The following is a 19,416-nucleotide window of genomic DNA, read 5'->3' as shown; positions in this document are numbered from 1 at the left end:
ATAAAATATAATTTATAATTTAGTAACAATTACATAATTATAAAGATTATTAAATTATCATAATTATCCCACTTTATATGTGTGTGAAATGTCTATTAGCACATTATTTGTACAAGCAGCATAGTGCATTTTATAATTATTTTATGTTAAAATTTCTAATGTTTTCTTGAAAAATACTTGAAGAGAGTTCTTTCAGGCATGATAGAGTAACAAATGTGAACTTAACCTACTCACATAAACAACAAGAAAACTGGATAAATATATTAAATGACTGGATACAGACACTGGGCAACAGACAGCATAGGACTATGTAATACCCGAAAGAAGGGAAACAAATTATGTGAGCCCTATGATCACTCTGGCCTTCTGCTTAGAGACAAATTAAGGGCCATATACATAAGAAGAAATTTAAACAGTCTCATGGCTTTCCTGAGATGAGGAGATAGAGATCAACATTTATGGAGACTGAGATAGCTGGGAGTTCTGGGGCAGTTATGGAAAAAGTGCTCCAGTAATCTGCATATGGGTTTCTGGAAGATCTGCGCTAGAAATGTAAAAGGGAATTCTTCCAGAGGAAGAAAATGATACTAACTGCAAACTTAGATTAATATAAAGTGGTTACTTTATTTAAAAAATTATTTTTATATATAGTCCTTTGTTATATAGTCCTTAATGTTTGCACAACAAACAACAGAGCTTCAAAATATACAAAGCATAAACAGATAAAACTGAAAAGGCAACCAACAAATCCTCAATTACAACTTCAATATTTCTCTATCAAATACAATAAATAGAAAGAAAAGTCAGTGAAGTCACAGAAAACTTGAGAAATCCTACCAAACAATTTGGCCTATTGATTTGACCCAATAACAGCTGAATATACTTTCTTTTCAGTTGCACATGGCACATCACCAAGACAGACCATATGATAATCCATAAAGCATGTTTCAATAAATATAAAAGGATAGAAATCATCAGAGTAGGTTATCTGAGCACAAAAAAGTCAAACTGAAACCAATAACCAGAAAGTTATCCAGAAAATCTCCAAATATTTGGAAAATAAATGACAGCCTTCTAAATAACTCGTGAATCAAAGAAGTCACAAAGGAAATTAAATTTATATATATATATATATATTTTATTATACTTTAAGTTCTAGGGTACACATGCACAACATGCAGGTTTGTTACATATGTATACATGTGCCATGCTGGTGTGCTGCACCCATTAACTCCTCATTTACATTAGGTGTATCTCCTAATGCTATCCCTCCCCCTTCCCCCCACCCCACAACAGGCCCTGGTGTGTGATGTTCCCCTTCCTGTGTCCAAGTGTTCTCATTGTTCAATTCCCACCTATGAGTGAGAACATGCGGTGTTTGGTTTTTTGTCCTTGCAATAGTTTGCTGAGAACGATGGTTTCCAGCTTCATCCATGTCCCTACAAAGGACATGAACTCATCATTTTTTATGGCTGCATAGTATTCCATGGTGTACATGTGCCACATTTTCTTAATCCAGTCTATCATTGTTGGACATTTGGGAAATTAAATTTTTTTAAATGAATAGAAAGAGGACACATCAAAATATTGGGATGCAGTGAAAGTGATATTTATAAGGACATATACAGCCTTAAATAAATGTTTCTGTTACAAAATAAGAAGGTTCTAAAAACCAGTGTTCTAAGCTTCCAAATTAAGAATCTATAAAAAGAGTCAATTAAAATAAAAATAAGTAAGGAAAAGGGAACAATAAAGATAAGAACAAAAGTCCGTGAGAAAGTAACACAAACAATAGAGAAAATCAATATAACAAAAATCTGATTCTTTGAAGAGATTAACAGGATAATTAAATCACTAACAGGATAATTAAATAATTGCTATAAGTAACATTAAACAAATAAATTTGGCAACTTATATGAAATGGGCATATTCCTTGAAAGTTACACATTACTAAAACTGACTTAAGAAGTAAAAGAAAATTAAAATAATCATACATCTATCAAAGTTATTAAATTCATAATTCTAAATCTCCTCCTCACAAAAATTTAAAACCTAGATGGCCTTTGCTGGTGAAGTCTATCAGACATTTAAGAAGAAAATACCTTTACACAAATTCTTCCAGAAAATTGTGGAATGGGAAACACTTCCCAATTCATTTCAAGAGGCCAGCATTACTCCCATAATTACAAGGAAGTATAAAACTACAGACTAATATCTCTCACAGATGCAAAATTCTTAACAAAATTTAGAAAACAAAATTTAATACTATATAAAAAGGATAATGTACCATAACCAAGTGAGATTTACTCCAGGAATGCAAGTTGGTTTAACATTAGAAAATCAGTCAGTGTATTTGACCATATTAACAAAATAAAGGTGAAAAATATGAATACCTCAGCAGATGCTGAAGAGCATTTTTCAACACCTATTAATGATAAAAAAAGGCTCTCCAAAAATGACTAGGAAGAAGCTTCTTCAATTTGATGAAGGGCATCTATGAAAAACTACAGATAATGTCATAATTAGTGATTAGAGACTGTATGTTTTTCCTCTAAGTTTGGAAACCAGGGAATGATGCCCAGTCTGACCAATTCTATTCAACATAGTACTGGAGGTCCTAGCCAGTGCAATAGGACAAGAAAAAAAAAGAAGACATAAATATTAGAAAAGAAAAAGCAAATCTGTCTTTATTACCAAATGGTATAATTGTGAACAAAGAAAATCCTGTAGAATCTATAATAAGGTACTGGAACACGTAAGTGAGCTTAGTAAGTTTACAGGATACAAAATTCATGTACAAATAAATGAATTATGTTTCTATATATCAACAGTGAACTACTGGAAATTAGAATTCAAATACAATACCATCTATAATAGTATCAGAAAACATCCAATACAACACACTGTTAGAAATTTTAAAAGACTAATTGAACTATATATCACATTAATATGTCAAAAGACTCATTATTAATATATTAGTTCCCTCAAATTAATTTATAGATATAATCTATATAAATTATTATTTATGTATTAATTATATATTATAGATTACATTAAAATCATAGGTAATATGATTTAATTTATAAATAAATTCTATATAAAATCTAAATATGGACTTAATTACAATAAAAATCCCAGCATAAAGTTAGTTGATTAAAAATTTATATGGAAATGCAAAGAACCTAGAATAATAAGAACAATTTTTTTTAAAAGAACACCAGAGGACTTACACTATCTGATTTCAAGAACTGCTATTAAGCTAGAGTAATCAAGACAGTGTGGTATTGGCATAAGAATAAGGTATAAATCAGTGGCACAGAATAAATAATGCTAAAATAGAACCATACCTAAATAGTCAATTAAAGAGAACAAAGCTTCCATTAATTCAATGAGGAATTATATAATATTTTCAACAAGTAATGTTGGAACAACTGGATATCCATACAGAAAGAAATAAATGTCAACTCTTCATTGACACACCACACACAAAAATCAACTTAAAATGTTTTAGACCTAAATGCCAAAGCTGAGATTTTAACACTTCTAAGAGAAAATATGGGAGAAAATATTCACAAATTTAGGCTAAGAAAAGGTTTCTTAAGTGGGATACAAAAAGCACAAACCATAAAAGAAAAAAACTGGAAAACTGCATTTCACCAAGATTTAAAACCTCTGTTTTGTTAAAAATAGAATTAGTAAAATGAAAAGACAAGCTATGACTGGGAAAAAAATATGCAATACATATACCTGTCACAACTTCTATCTAGAATATACAAAGAACTCTTATATAATAAGACAACCCAATTAAAAGCAAAATACTTCAACACTTCACACAAAAATAAGAATGGCCAATAAGAACATGAAAACATCCTCTACATAATTAGTCATCAGGGAAATGAAAATTACATCTAAATGAATTAAACCTCCACTAGAACAGCTAAAAGTAACTTGAAAATACCAAGTACTGACAAGGATGTAGAGCAACCAGAATGCTCATGTACTGCTGGTGGGGGTAGAACATAGTACAATCATTTTGGAAAACAGACACAAAAGAGTACTCACTGTATGATCCTATGTATATAAAACTAGAGAAAACATTAATCTACATTGTCAGGAAGCAAATGATTGCTAAGGGTCAGGGGGGCCAGGGGAAGGGGATGTTTTCAGTGAAGAGGCATGAAGAAACTTTTTTGGATAATGAAAATATTGCATAACTTAATAGCGACAATGACCACATGAATATGTTAATTTTCAAAGCGCATGAAAATATATACTTAAAGTGAATGCATTTTATTTTATATAAATTATATATGTATATAAATCACTACACTTGATTTTTAAAAATGGTTTGACTTGAGACACAATATTTTGGAACAACTCTCATTTTTTGCCCTCTCAAATATCCTTATTCTATCACCCAGTGTTTTCAATCATACTATATTAATAAGAAAGCCCCTCACTCCATTTTTACCAAACTGCTAATGCTAAATACATCAGCCCTAATCATTGTCATTATATATTTCACCATATTAATTTTTTAAAAAGTTATCTCAAGTGAGCTATTAAAATATTAATATTGTTTTAAGCTATAGTAAAGATAAAAACCTTTTTTATTAAGCGCTTCCTGTTTGCCAAGCATTGTTGCAGACATTTTACATACATTTTTTCTAATTATTATGTATAACCCTGCAAAGTCGACATTACTACCTTTAACAAGGTTAAGGGGCTTACACAAGCCACGAAAGGATCTAGTCAATGACAGAGCGTGGAATCTCGTTCCAGTCTAGTCAGAGTTTGTTTCCTGGAATATTAACCATTAACCAATTAGTATAACATTTAGAAGCACAGAGACACACTTCCTTGACCCATCACTTTAACCAAAATTAGTAAACTTAACTGTTTGCGATAATAAACACATTTCTACTCAAGTTTTTCCAGATGATTTAGGTCAGGTTTTTGTCTTGGGTCCTATTGTTCAATGTCAGTGTGTAAATATAAAGCATAAAGGGTTTTTTTTTATAATAAATACCTTCACTATCCAGGTCATCACTTTGAGCAAACACACTGTCCATAGAAGAGTCAGGAATAAAGGTCCATTCATCAAATTTAGACAGCACATCTTCAGAAAAATTTCCATCGCTGCCTGAGGCTGTTCCTTCTTCCACAGCACTTTTCATCTGATATCTGATCACCATTCTTGCTAGTGTAGATGCTATATCTGAAAATAAGAGATACACCAGCAACTTAGAAATCAACAATTATGCAAAAATAAACATACATAGGACCAAAGTTCTTACGTATTGCTATGCTTCTGGAGAATATTTCTATTTTTCCTTTCAAAGTCACCTTACACTAGTGATCCTGAATAATTAACAGGTGGCAGATCATATATTTTTTAAAAAAACATAACCATGTACACAATGCTTTCATGTAGACAGCAAAACTGAATCTCTATGGAACTAACTTTATTCAGGAAAAGGCCTAGGCTTTGAAGCCAGACAGGCCTGTGTTCAAGTCATAGAAATGCCATTTGTGAGTTATATGAGCTCCCTGGGTATCAGTGTCCTCACCTGGAAAATGAAGATGATAATAAATACAGTATATGGTGATGAAAAAGAGTAATTGAAATGATGCATATAAAATGTTTAGCACAATGCATAGAACACATAAACTGCTAAATAAAGGATCTTGTTATTTTTATAAAGTTTGCTGAGTGATTCATTATGACTATTGGGAAACCTGATGGAATTTCAAAGTTAACATTCTTCTCACAACTTCATTACATTATGTATTAGCTCTACTATGAAGAATAAGTTGGCTGAGTCCTCATTGTTCTACATACAGCCAGGAAGATTTCTTCAAATATTACTACTGTAATGACTTCAAATATTACTACATGATACTGCTGTATCATGTAGTACAATATCCAGTGATGAGTTGGCTAATACAATGCTGGTTAGGCCTCCTACTGTAAAAAGGAAAATAAACCCTGGGGCTCAGAGCATGGTGGGGGATCATTTGATATTACCCCTGTGAAGTGTAGATAATCAGCTAAAAGACTTTGACAACAGTAGGAATAGCAATAATTATAGTAGCAGAGTGAAGTATGCTCATGTATCTACATCTATTCCTACTGTAAATATGTGGTGGACCCATATGATAAACCCCAAGAAGGCAACTGATACTATGGCTTACACTATACCCATATACCCAAATGGTTCCTTTTTCCAGAGTAATATGTTATGATATGGGAAATTATCCCGAAGCCCGGTAGGATGAGCTCACACACAAATATGTCACTTAGGCAAATACTACCTGAAAAATGTTTGAAAGCTATGACCCAAAGTGTTCTTTACTCAGACCAGCTGCCAGTGAAATCATGGTTATACCCTCCAATTAATCAAATGACAATTCTATGTTTTTTTAACTGGGTAAGATGTGTCAATGGTAAAAACTCCAGACAGAACAAAGAGAATATAGTGAATGATAAATCTCCCTCTGTCCCTCTCCAATGGGCCCACAATTCCTCTCCATCGGATATTGAAGATTAAAGTAAGCAGGTTTTTGGCATAAGACTAGTTTAAGTAATGAAACATGGGATCTAACCATGTCTCAGTAATTTCCAAAGACCCAGAGACAACCAGGGAACCCATTTCTGGAGGGTTTTATTTCATATTCAAACTTTTATAACTATCATATTCCAGTTGCATTTTCATCAACATTAGCATAGTAAAAACACTGTCTGTGCCCTTTTTTTTGCCACGGAGTAATGTAATCTTTATCAGGACATTAAATTTGCTCCACGTTTTTTTTTCCTCAATGATTGCAAAGCATTCCACAACATGTATGTACCATTATTTATTTGAATAGTTCCTTTTGGGGAATACTTAGGTTTTTTTCCTACTCTTTTGCTATTATAAACAATGTTTTAATGTGCATTTTTGTACATAATTTTTGTGCACATTGAGAATGTCTGTATCATAGATTCCTAACAGTACATTGTGAGGTCAAAAAAGTATGTACATATATTAAAAATATTAGTAGATATTGCCAAATTGTCCTCAAAAGAGGACAATTTAAATTCATATCAATATATGAAGCATGTTTCCACACATGCTTATCAACATAATGTATTACACAATTTTTATTTTTTGCCAATATTGAATACTTAATTCTAAATGATAATCTACTATGTGCAAAACACTAGTATCAATGGTAAGGTTACAACCATGAACAAAATTGACATTGACTTCATGGTACTAACAATTTACCAAAAAGTAGATTATAAAAATGAAAAATTAAATTATATAATGTGGTGAATGGTAGTATATGTGAGAAATAAAGTGCTATAGGGTCATGTAAGAGAACCTTCCAGACTGGTGATAGCACTGAGACAGGAAGAATGAAGAGACAGCCAGGTGAAGAGAGAATTTAGAGCTAGGTAGAGAGAGAGTAACACTGGAAAAAGACTGGAAGTAAGGGTACACGAAGTGTTTGAGAAACCGAGGAAAATTCAGCCTGATTGGAACTTTTGGAGCCTACTGAGCGGTTGGAAACCTTGATGTATAAAGGCACCAAATTGCATGGATGGGTACTTTTCTCTAGCAGCACTCAGTTTTCTTGGTGAAACTGAGGGAAAAAGTAGACTGGTAGACTGACCAAAACTGGTGTTTTGCTAGTGAGTGCATCATAAAAATGAGAGAAGCAAACATGTTACTTGCAAGATGGTCCTTAAGGTGTTGATTCATGGAGTTTGATGACCATGGGGAAGGAGATGGGCATGGGACTAAGTTAACACAGGGAAAGCTGGGAGCTTTCACGCTAAAAACACATTTAGTGTGAACAAATGAGAGAGCTCAAAAGATAAAAATAGTGTCAGAAGATGGTAACTTACCATCAATACACATAATATGTACAAAATACACATGAGCTTGAAAGTATAAAGAAAATGCATTATCAATTGAAATATAAAGTATATTCTAAGTTAAAAATGCCAAATAAATATGTGTGTATGCTTTTACATACATTTGAATGCATAGGTACATGTAAGCATATAAAAAGTTAGGAAAAATATCCATATTAATTACTTATAAGAGATAAAATAAGTTATTTTTATTTTCTTTTTTATAATTTTATATTTCCTTTAAAAACAGGGATATCTTACTTTAATAATAAAAAATATATATTAAAAAGTACCCCTTCAAAAAGCTTCCACTATTTTGCTCTATTTTTATAAATAACTATTTGCTATCTCATAAAGAACTTAAATGTCATTTTGAAGTATTTCATAGCCAAAAAAAAAAAAAATCCAAACCTTTGCAATATCTTTGGCTTAAGGTCCCTCAAACTGGCATGAATAACCACTAAAAGACTAGTGACTTAAAAAAATACTATTAAAAATAAGAATTGTAAAAAATATTCTCCTTGTTACTTACTTGTTTGTTTCCTTAAATTAGAAGTCTTATCTGGAAATAAAGGACCAAGCCAAGAAGGTTCAACTTTTCCTATACAAAATCCTCCAAGGCAAATGCTATTGTTGGCCACATCCAGGGCCAGCCTCCTTAAGAGCAAGCTGATGATCTGGCTGTCACCTTTCCCAATGCTTATCGTCAACGCTTTTCGTACATCTTGTTCACGAGATCCACTATTCAGTAAGAGTTCCACCAATTTGGGACTGCTCTCTTTCTCACATACCTATTAAAGAAAAAAAATTAAGTATATTAAAAATCTACATTTTTCTTCCTTTTAGGAGACTGGCAAATCAAACTTCATGTGATTTTTCTCTACATCTCCAATTTGGAATGAAACAAAATAAAATAAGGCAAAACTGATCCTTGAATAGATTGGGAAAATAAGATGATATTAATGCCATCAATGTCAGAATAGCATGAATAATCTGCCACATGACAGTCAGTTATTATGAAAGAGACAACATTATATGGAGACAAAGCTCCACAGGCTTGGCATCAAGATCTCTGTTTACATCCAGACTCCACCAAATATGCACATTGCTTACACTTTCTGAGCTTCTGTCTTCTCACTGTAAGATACCTGGGAAACCAGTACCTTAACACAGTAAATACTACTGTCCTGCCTTTATTTGTGACATAGAATAACTAAATGGGGACATAGCTATTGTAAAATTTATTAATGCCACACACAAACGACAGTCATTACTCGTGTCTAGCTTTCCTGAGCTCCTCAAGACAAGCATCTGAATTTCCTCAAAGATATACCTTGTCTCTCAGTCTTCAACCTTCCTCTAAATGTTATGTTTTCAGAGCATGTGTTCAGGGTGGGTTAGCATGTGAGGTGCCACAAAAACTAGAACAACTCAGCAATCCAGGAGAAGCCTTAGCAAGCTGTGGCACTGCATGCTGGCCCTACTCAGGAAGAGCTATGGAAAGGAGCTAGACGCTAGCAAGGAGCTATCAACTAGAAGACCAAGATAACAGGTAATAGAAATAATATCCATCAGTTACTGTGCTAAATTCTGTACACACATGATTTCTAATCTTTTTTTTAAAAAAATCCTATGCCATAGCAATTATTACTCCCATTTTATAGATGAGTATTTAGAAAAGATATATAATTTGTCCCTTACAGCTAGCAAGCAACTGAGACTTGGATTTGAAGCCAAATCTGCTGGCTTCAAAACCTGTGTGACTTTCATTACCCAAAATAAAACATCAAAAAAGGAAAGAAAAGAAGACCCAAAGATCCAGGGTACCAACTCAGAGGAAAAAGATGTTGGGGACAATTTTTGAATTTTCTAGAATTAAAGTGTTTCCAAGGGATTTGAGGGGACATTCATTTATGTGGTTGGAAGGCACCAATTAAATGCCCACCAGTCTCCAAGTACGCCCACCTTCAACCCATCCTCAAAGCACTACAGAGCTCTGATCAAGTCACCATCGTCTTTAAAAACCTTCTAAAACGCTGCTGCTCCAGGACATTCTTCCAAACACAGCATGTAATTTTTCAAACCTCATTACCTTTTATGCTATTTCTATTACCCCAAATGCCTTCCTCTACTTTTCACCCAGCAAAAAGGTGTTCATTCTTGAAGAATTGGCTTCAAACTTTCTTGCAGAGAAGTCCTTGCTACTAACCTCTCAGGCCAAACACACCATTTCTCCTCCCGGCTCCCATCCATTTCATTTAATGTAGCACTGAGCAAACATACATACCCATCTGTTTTCTTGCTAGAATGCAAAGGGCTTTACATTACTGCAATCCAACTTGTATTCCTGAAGCCTAGCACAACATCTAGCAAATATATTTAATTTAAGTAGCAAATTACTAAAATCCTCTTTAAGGGCTCATAGCAAAATTAAAAGGAAGGCAGGTGGAAGAGGAAGGAAGGAAGGAAGGAAGGAGAAGGGGAAGGGGAAGAGGAAGGGGAAGGGGAAGAGAAAGGAGAAGGGAGGGGAGGGGAGGGGAGGGGAGGGGAGGGAAGAGAAGGGGAGGGGAGGGAAGAGAAGGGAAGGGAAGGGAAGGGAAGGGAAGGGAAGGGAAGGGAAGGGAAGGGAAGGGAAGGGAAGGGAAGGGAAGGGAAGCGGGGAGGGAGGGAAAAACTCACAAATGCCTTCTCTTATAGCCCAGTAACTTTTTTTTCTCTAAGATATGCCATTCACTCCTTACTTTGTACTAAGGTGATTTATGTTTTACTCTCTTGTCAATGCCCTACACATACAGACCTACAAACCATCTTGAAACAGGAAACCCATTTTATATTCTCTATTAATTATCTAGCACTGTGTGCTGCACATGTTTGTGGAAGGAATTTTCCTTGGAGGATCCAAACTATCCAAGCTGACTTTAGGCATATGGTGCCATGAAGAGAGACATATATGAGAAAGTGAATCTGATAAAATAAATAAATGCCAGCAAAAATAAGAATTAATTTCTTTAAATCCTACAGAGTCATTCTCTTTAGAATATTCACACATATTTATGAAAGTAATTTCAGCTTCATGACAGGAAAATACTACTGCTCACAGATATTTATTTTTACATTTAAATAATAATGAAGAAAATTAAGAATATAACTAAAGATTATCAAAAGCATAATTTCTTATCCCTGCAATCTTTCTCTGATCATCTAATTTATAATAAATGCAGTGCATTATCAAAACCAAATTATTCAAACTGTTATTTTAGAGAAAATGAACACCACTACCACCACTACCATGAATCTGCTGTGTAGCCAAGAAATTAAAGCAGGCACTGTGGAGGCAGATTTCACACTGTTACCAGGAGCTTGTTCTTAGGCAAGTTATTTAAACCCTCAGTGCCTCAGCTTCTCACTTGCACAATGGGAATAACATTAGAACCTACTGGACCTTTTCGTAGGTTGTCGTAAGGATTAAATTGTGTAAAGTATTTGGAGCAGTGCCCAGGTGGTAATGAGCATGATAGAAGTGTTTGGTTTTGTTGGTTTTTTGTTTGTTTGTTTTGTTGGTTGGTTGGTTGGTTCGTTTTTTGTTTTTTTTTTTTTTGAGACGGAGTCTCACTCTGTCGCCCAGGCTGCAGTGCAGTGGCGCGATCTAGGCTCACTGCAAGCTCCGCCTTCCAGGTTCACGCCATTCTCCTGCCTCAGCCTCCCAAGTAGCTGGGACTACAGGCACCTGCCACCACGCCTGGCTAATTTTTTGTATTTTTTTAGTAGAAACAAGGTTTCACCGGGTTAGCCAGGATGGTCTCGATCTCCTGACCTCATGATCCACCCACCTCGGCCTCCCAAAGTGCTGGGATTACAGGCGTGAGCCACCGCACCCGACCGGTTGGTTTTGAGACAGAGTCTCCCTCTGTCACCAAGGCTGCTGTACAGTGGCACAATCTTAGCTCCTGCAGCCTTGACCTCCTAGGCTCAAGTGATCCTCCCACCTCAGCCTTATTATATTATTTTATTTTATTTTATTTTATTTTATTTTATTTTATTTTAACAGGGTCTGGCTCTGTTGCCTAGGCTGGAGTGCAATGGTGCAATCTCAGCTAACTGCAGCCTCAACCTCCCAGGCTCAAGTCATCCTCCCACCTCAGACTCCCAAGTAGCTGGGACTATAAGCAGGTACCACCATACCCAGCTAATTTTTTGACTTTTTGTAGACATGGGGGTCTAACTATGTTGCCCAGGCTGGTCTTGAACTCCTGGGCTCAAATGATCCTCCCGCCTTGACTTCCCAAAGCCCTGGGATTACAGGCATGAGCCACCCTGCATGAAGCTAGGACTACATGTGTGTGCCATCATACATGGTTTTTTGCTTGTTGGTTTGTTTTGTAGAAATGGAGTCTCACTATGTTTCTCAAGTTGGTCTCGAACTCCTGGCTCAAGTGATCCTCCCACCTCAACATCCCAAAGTGTTGGGATTACAGATGTGAGCCACCATGCCCAGCCTCTTATTATTTTTATTCAGACTTCACTATACTTTTTCCACTGTGATTTGATGAGTTTTACCTTGAGGTTTTTATCCATGCATTTGCATACCCAGTATTAAACTTCCATATTCTTCTCTACCAATCATGTACATTCCATTATCAAATTCTCTGCAGAAAGTCTAACACAACTCCACCCTTGCTCTAGATAGTCCTTCAATATGTAACCTCTTGGTAAATGAATAAATAGTCCTGATTACCTTATTTTGCTCTGGCACAAATAAGGTACATACGACAAACTCATCCACAAGATTTAATCAGCAGTTATTGTTTGCTAGATATAAATAACCTCTGACAACTGGGATAAATTCTTTAAACCTAATACATAATCCTTGGATTTAAGATTTCGTTTTAAAAAGAAAAGATAAAACTAAGCATATGAAGTCCAAAAGAATATGGAAAGAGGAATAAAGTAAAAATCCTGTTGGGTAGAAAGATTTGGATAAATTGAAAGAATAGTAGAAATGATTTCCTGTGGGGAATGTAGTACAGTTGTATCAGGTGCTTTTAGGTATGTTGTTTCCTTAATGTGGACTTAGAAGGGGAAGTTTCTTTTTAGTTCTTCGGTATTTTCAATTAAAATTAATGCAATAATCTGCATGCAAAAGATGCACAGTAAAAATGTATTAAATTATTGATGGAAAAATTTAATTATCTTTAGTAAAGCGGAGCAACTATTTTAATTGTTGCTTGCTTAAAAGAAATTTGACTAAATTTAAATAATTAGATTGTTTATGTGATTTTAATTCATAAACGTAATGCATGAAAATGGGTTACAAATTCTTTTTCTTTTTATGTTGATTACTAATTAGTATTAACTTAATCTTAACAGTCAACAAATTGATTTCAATCCATAGGCAAGTGGGATATTAAATACAGTAGGGATATTAAATACAGTAAGGTTTAAAAAGTAAACTATTGGCAAACATAGTACTTTATTGATTATTTAATAATGTGTATTAAATCACTACATAATTGCTTTGTTAGAAATATTAAATTTCTAGAAAATAGACATAGTGCTACCTGAATGCTAGTATAAACTCTAACACTTATACAAATAATACAAATCTGAAATATAAGCAATGAACCTAGTATTTATTGAATACACACCATATGTAAAGCAATGAGCTCGATATTCTGAATGATACAAAGATGAACACTGTACACTGTTATTTTCACACAACTCACCAAGTATACAAGAGATATGTATATATTTTCATAGACTGACAAAAGAAGTAAATCTTAATTTTGTTTGGAGGTTTGGAGGTATGGGGAGGGCTTTAAAGAAAGATAATTTGAATTATATTTTGAAGGGAGAGCAGAACAATCAGATAGATATATGTTTACATGGTTCAGGAGGGAAGAGAGAAGGAAAGAAAGACCAGTGTTACACAACTTTGGCCAACAGCAACTCATGTCACTGTGAATGGCACCGACAAAAGTGTGCCATCCACAGCCTGCATAGCCATGTGTGGTAGCCCTCAGGGGAGAACTTTCTAGGCAAAGAAACTAAAACCATGGAAAAAAATGGTTAAAAAATTATCAAAACATTAGAACTATGTGTTATGTGGAGTGTATCTGGAGACTAAGTTGTAGAGATGCCTACTAAGGGACACATTTGAAAAGTTATTTATCAACTTAACAAGATAAGTAAACAGATGAAATGAAAGATTAGACTGGATAACACCTAAAGGACCCTATTACTTCTGGAATTCTATAAATCTACTACAAGACACAAACAATTGCAATAAACTGGTAAATTTCTGTAGTGAAGAATAATATGATATAAGTAAGAGATACACAATGGCAGGGCTCTTACATTCTATAAGAATACTGAGCAAAGACAAAAGTGAGGCCTTGAATATTTACCTGACAAATTAAAGAAGATCCCTCCTTTGCTTGATTGGCATCTGCTCCCAATAGAAGCAAGCATTCAACCATGATGCTGTTATTCTGATCACACGCTCTCTCTAGCATCACATTTTTTAAGTAATCATCCATAGCTACTTTTGCAAAACACTTGCAACAGAGGTTTAGAAACTAAAAAGAGTGGAAATGAGAATTAGAGTCAGATAAATACATAACATTTAGGATGCAAGTGAAAAACACTGTACCTGTTGATCCTTTTGTTCCATGATATTGGAAGACATTTGATGGAATATTACTAAGTCAAATGAATGATGCACCAGCAGCTTAGAAAAAGATGCTGACAATTTGAGGATTGCTAAGATTGTCTGAAATCCCTAAAAGTATAAGAAAAAAAATAATAAAATAAGCAATTACAGGCAAAATGAATAAACAGTATAAAGCAGAGAGAGTTTGTATATGAAACAATACCTAGGATGTTCATTTAACTATAGATATATTGGGTTGGTGCTTTAAAGTATTTATCCTGTAAATAAATACTCCCTCTCTCTCTCATGACTAAGAAATATAGCAGGCACAGAGAATAAAATGCTAGTTAACAAACCATTCAGTAGCAAAGCAGGAAAAAGAACTAATACCCTCAAATTTGGTTTTCAAAGATGCTTGTCTAAAGCCATAGTTATAGGATGAAACCCAGATATTAAACAGGATTAAAGCGGTTGGATCAGCAGAACTACACATCCAAACAGGTCAATAGAGTAAAAATTTGTATTATAATATTGAACAGTAGGTTCTCTAGAGAGCCTAGCATATCCCCCAGCTTTTTGCGCTGTCTTCCGAAATGTTTATCTCAGAAAGGCTAGTGTGGACTCCTAGATTTCATTTATGTTGAGTGTAGTTGAGAAGCGCTGAGGGCACTCTGAGGATTACATTCTAATAATAAGTTATTTATAAAGAACACCGTTACTTTTTTAGAACCACCTTAAGCACATCCCCAGAGTCTGTCCTCTTCACTCATGTGATGTTTTAATGAAAGATTGGGCTTTTGACTTTAGTATTATTTAGGTTGGGTAAAGCCACCAAGGATCATCTTAACTTTTTAATGTTTTATTACCTCTAATATTACATATTAATAAAATTGGCTAGACACCATGGCTCACACCTGTAATCTCAGCACTGTGGGATTGCTTGAGCCCAGGAATTCAAGACCAGCCTGCACAATATGGCAAAATCTTGTGCCTATAAAAAATATTTTAAAATTACCCGTGCATGCACCTGTAGTCCCAGCTACTCAGGAGGCTGAGGTGGATCACTTGAGCCCACCCAGGAGGATGGGCCCAGGAGGCAGAGGTTGCAGTGAACCGAGATTGTGCCACTGCACTCTAGCCTGGGCCATAGAGTGAGACCCCATCTCAAAAAAATTTTAAATTAACTTACGTCATCTAAATATTAAAATTATTACTTCGAACTCTTATGATGCTGAGTATCTACGAATACTAATATTTGATAAGCAAAGTAGCCTTAATTTATGTATGTCTGAGGGACAGGTGATCCACCTGCCTCTAGAGCAGAGGTCTCTGAAAACAAGTGAATGCTACAGCAGAGCAGGCCATGCAAATGTGCAGAAAGTACGTCATTCGAATTAAAAACTTTTAAACACTGAACTGAAGGCCGGGTGCAGTGGCTCATGCCTGTAATCCCAACACTTTGGGAGTCCGAGGTGAGTGAATCACTTGAGGTCAGGAGTTTGAGACCAGCCTGGCCAACACGGCGAAACCCCATCTCAGCTAAAAATACAAACATTAGCTGAGCATGGTGGTGCATACTTGTAGTCCTAGCTACTAGGGAGGCTGAGGCAGGAGAATTGCTTGAACCCAGGAGGCGGAGGGTGATGTGAGCTGAGACTGCGCCACTGCACTACAGCCTGGGCAACAGAGTGAGACTCTGTCTCAAAAAACAAAGCAAAACCCTGAACTGGACAAATAAAATATGTTGGCAGGCCAGATTTAGTTCATAAACTCTACTATAGAGATTCTAAAATTTATGCCTAGATGAATTAATCCAGAGTAACTGAGAGTTCCATACCGGCACAAAATCCTTCCCTTTCCCTAAGATTACTTTTAATCAATCCTATCTTGGTTTAATCAGCCTAGCCTGAGGCACATTATGAAAAGCAGTTATAAAACACATTGTTGTTATTAATCTAAGAATTTTGTATGTTCATAACTTTATAATTTTTTAAAAAACTTTACACATATTCTCTCATTTACTGATAATGTCTGTGCAAAGATTAGAGACCAGGTATTTTTATTCCTGGTCAATGCTGCCAGTTACAAAAAATATTTCCTGAGTCAGCTGGGCACCTTGGCTCACACCTGTAATCCCAGCACTTTGGGAGGCTGAGCAGGACAGATTGCTTGAGACCAGGGAGTTTGAGACCAGCCTGGGAAATATGGTGAAACCTCATCTCTACAAAAAATACAAAAATTAGCCAGGCATGGGAGTGCATGCCTGTAGTCTGAGCTACTCAGGAGGCTGAGGCAAGAGAATCACTTGAGCTCGGGAAGCAGCTGTTGTAGTGAGCTGAAATCTGCCACTACACTCCAGCCTGGGTGACAGAGTGAGACCCTGTCTCCAAAAAAAAAAAAAAAATTCCTTTGTAGTTTATGAAAGTTGCAAACTCCACAACCAAGGCAGAAACTCTTGAAGAAAAACTATTTGTTTTGCTACAATTAAAAAACAAAACAAAACAAATTTATTCTTAATCTCCCGTGAACTAACTCTAGGCCAGTATCTTGAATTCCTTACAAAGACAGTTATTATATATCATGTTTTAAATTTTGCTTGATGAAAAATGTTAAAAACATTTTTTCACTGCAAGGAAAAAAATCAACAAGCAAAATTACTAAAGGTAAGCAACCTGCAATAAAACCCAGAGAGTGACAAACTTTGGAATATTTATAAATTCTATTTATCTAAAATCTAAGCGAATAAACTCAGCTAGCTGGGATTTCTTAGCACATTCTCTGAACTTTTATGGGCAAGATAAATGGTGAATAACCATGCTGACTTTAGAGATTTCATAATGAAACACTGGATCTTTAGAGATTCAATCCAATTTTCTTTGCTTGTATAATTAAAATACTACAAAAGGATAAATGGTTTTCCATTAACTAGAATACCCCATTCATGCAAAGTGGGAATTACACAAACTGCTCCAAAAGTGAAATTCGCACAAGTTCCCAAATTCTTTCCAAGATAATGCACATACTTTAGTCTGTATTTCAGCAACATCCTTAAATCGGTATAAGCTGGAAACCAGAATTTTTGCCAGCAGATGTCCAGTTCCTATGAACACATTCTTCTTTGTAATCAAGTATCCTATAAGACTTAAACCCAGACACTGAATTTCTAGGAAAATAAAAAAAAAGAATTGTTTTAAATCTCAAAACTGAAGAAAAATATTTAAAGACATCCAGTCACCAGCTAATGCCCTACAAAAATCTATTCTAAATCCTGAATTCAAATTGTACTGACCTTGGTCATCTGGATACATCTGCAGTGTGTGAAGCACTGAATCCATAGCACCTTCCAGGGATAACATCTCTAATGCATCAGGAAAATGTACAATAGAAGAAATTACTTTTAATCCACATTTCTGAATCCCAGGATTTCCAATGAACTAAAATCAAAAGAATACTCGCTGTTAAAAATGAGATCTTAATACTTACCTTAGTTAAGACCAGTTATAGACTGACAAAATATAAATCAAGTAATCCAAATATAAATCAGTATCCTTGATTTTGTTTTCTATAACATTAATTACTTTTATTTATTATGAAGAATAAGAGTTAGCATTTTTACAATTAAGGAGAGCTTGTTCTGTGCCAGGCATTGTAATAAATACTTTGTAGGCATTTTCTTTTCATAATCTCATGAAATCCATACTGATATCACTCCCATTAGAAGATGAATTCACTGAGGGTTAGAATGATTGAGAACTATTCTCAAAGTCTACACAAACTATAAATTGCAGAGATGAAACCAAACCAAATATGTTTCACCCCAGAGTCTACATACTTGACCAGTAAAACGCAATGCTGCCTCTTAACAAATAAAATATTGATAATTAGTCTTTACTGCAAGTGCTTTGCATGCGTTATTTCATTTATCCCCTCAACAGCTTCATGTAATAGGTTTGCCAAACTTTAAAGATGCAGAAATAAAAGCTCAAGTAACAGAGCTAATATGCATTGGGCCTGGGACTTGAATATAAATGTGTCCACCTTAAAAGCCCAGGATCTTAATTACGACATCATCCAACCTCTTTAATCTGAATTTCCTCCAGATGATTTGACACTATGAAGGTATTTTACTAGAGGTCACTTCTTTGTCCAGGCCATCCTACTCATCAACCAAGAAGAAAACGCAGCATACCTCTAACTCTTATTCTGGTCATCTCTGCCTTTTCACACACAAGCAATACACTCCAAACATCTACCTTGATATGAATGCTTAACTCATAGCTTTTCTTTTAAAAATTATAGTGCCATCCTTCTCAGGAATTTTGCTTTCATTTAGATGATGTTTTGCAGACACTAGTTTCATGGTACCTCCACTCCAAAGACGTGATGGCCTCCACCACAGATAATCCAAAGAGCTGAAATAGCTTCAAGCCAGACGTCTTTGACCAAAATCTTCTGCCTTCCAAGCTTCCTCATTTCTGTACTCTCAGTGAACAGATTTCCAATCCTTTCTCAGTCTAGTCCCCTAATGCCTCTCAATTATCTTTATTCAGTATCTTTTTTATAGAGGCTGAGGAGAAGCATCAGTTTCTCACCCTGTGTCCTTCTACTTCACACTTTAATTGCTCAGCTTGGACATCATTTCATTTATCATCTTAATAATACATAGTCTCCCTTGACATTTTTGTTTCCTGTCACTGTTTCTGTAAGCACATCAGCTTGGAGGCCAATTAAATTTAGGTTCAAATTATGCGAATCTGAGAACCATTAAATGAATGAAGTAACAATTACTCAGTTAGACAATGACTGCTAAGAAGTGGTAAGTTAAAAAGTGGAACTTTTATTCAAGAAATATAAAGAAATTCAA

The 19,416-nt window shown here is 35.0% G+C and overlaps 1 protein-coding gene across 11 annotated transcripts in view; it reads right to left on the bottom strand.

Moving 5' to 3' along the window:
• The window catches only part of LRRK2 (leucine rich repeat kinase 2), a 144,289-nt gene that overhangs the window by 76,717 nt on the left and 48,156 nt on the right, over positions 1 to 19,416 (bottom strand). For all 11 annotated transcript variants that reach the window (XR_007063041.1, NM_198578.4, XM_005268629.5 and 8 more), the window contains 6 exons: positions 17,842 to 17,986; positions 17,576 to 17,715; positions 14,553 to 14,681; positions 14,308 to 14,478; positions 8,436 to 8,694; positions 5,030 to 5,218 (listed from right to left, as the gene is read on the bottom strand). Coding sequence is in view for 10 of the 11 variants with exons in the window: in NM_198578.4 (NP_940980.4) it covers positions 5,030 to 5,218; positions 8,436 to 8,694; positions 14,308 to 14,478; positions 14,553 to 14,681; positions 17,576 to 17,715; positions 17,842 to 17,986 (1,033 nt within the window). In the remaining variant the exon portion in view is untranslated. The remainder of the gene's footprint in view (positions 1 to 5,029; positions 5,219 to 8,435; positions 8,695 to 14,307; positions 14,479 to 14,552; positions 14,682 to 17,575; positions 17,716 to 17,841; positions 17,987 to 19,416) is intronic.

This window comes from Homo sapiens, chromosome 12 (assembly GCF_000001405.40).
Source record: "Homo sapiens chromosome 12, GRCh38.p14 Primary Assembly".
Taxonomy (NCBI): Eukaryota; Metazoa; Chordata; class Mammalia; order Primates; family Hominidae; genus Homo; species Homo sapiens.
Note: the sequence above shows the minus strand (reverse complement) of the source record. Positions and strands in the feature narration are given on the sequence as shown.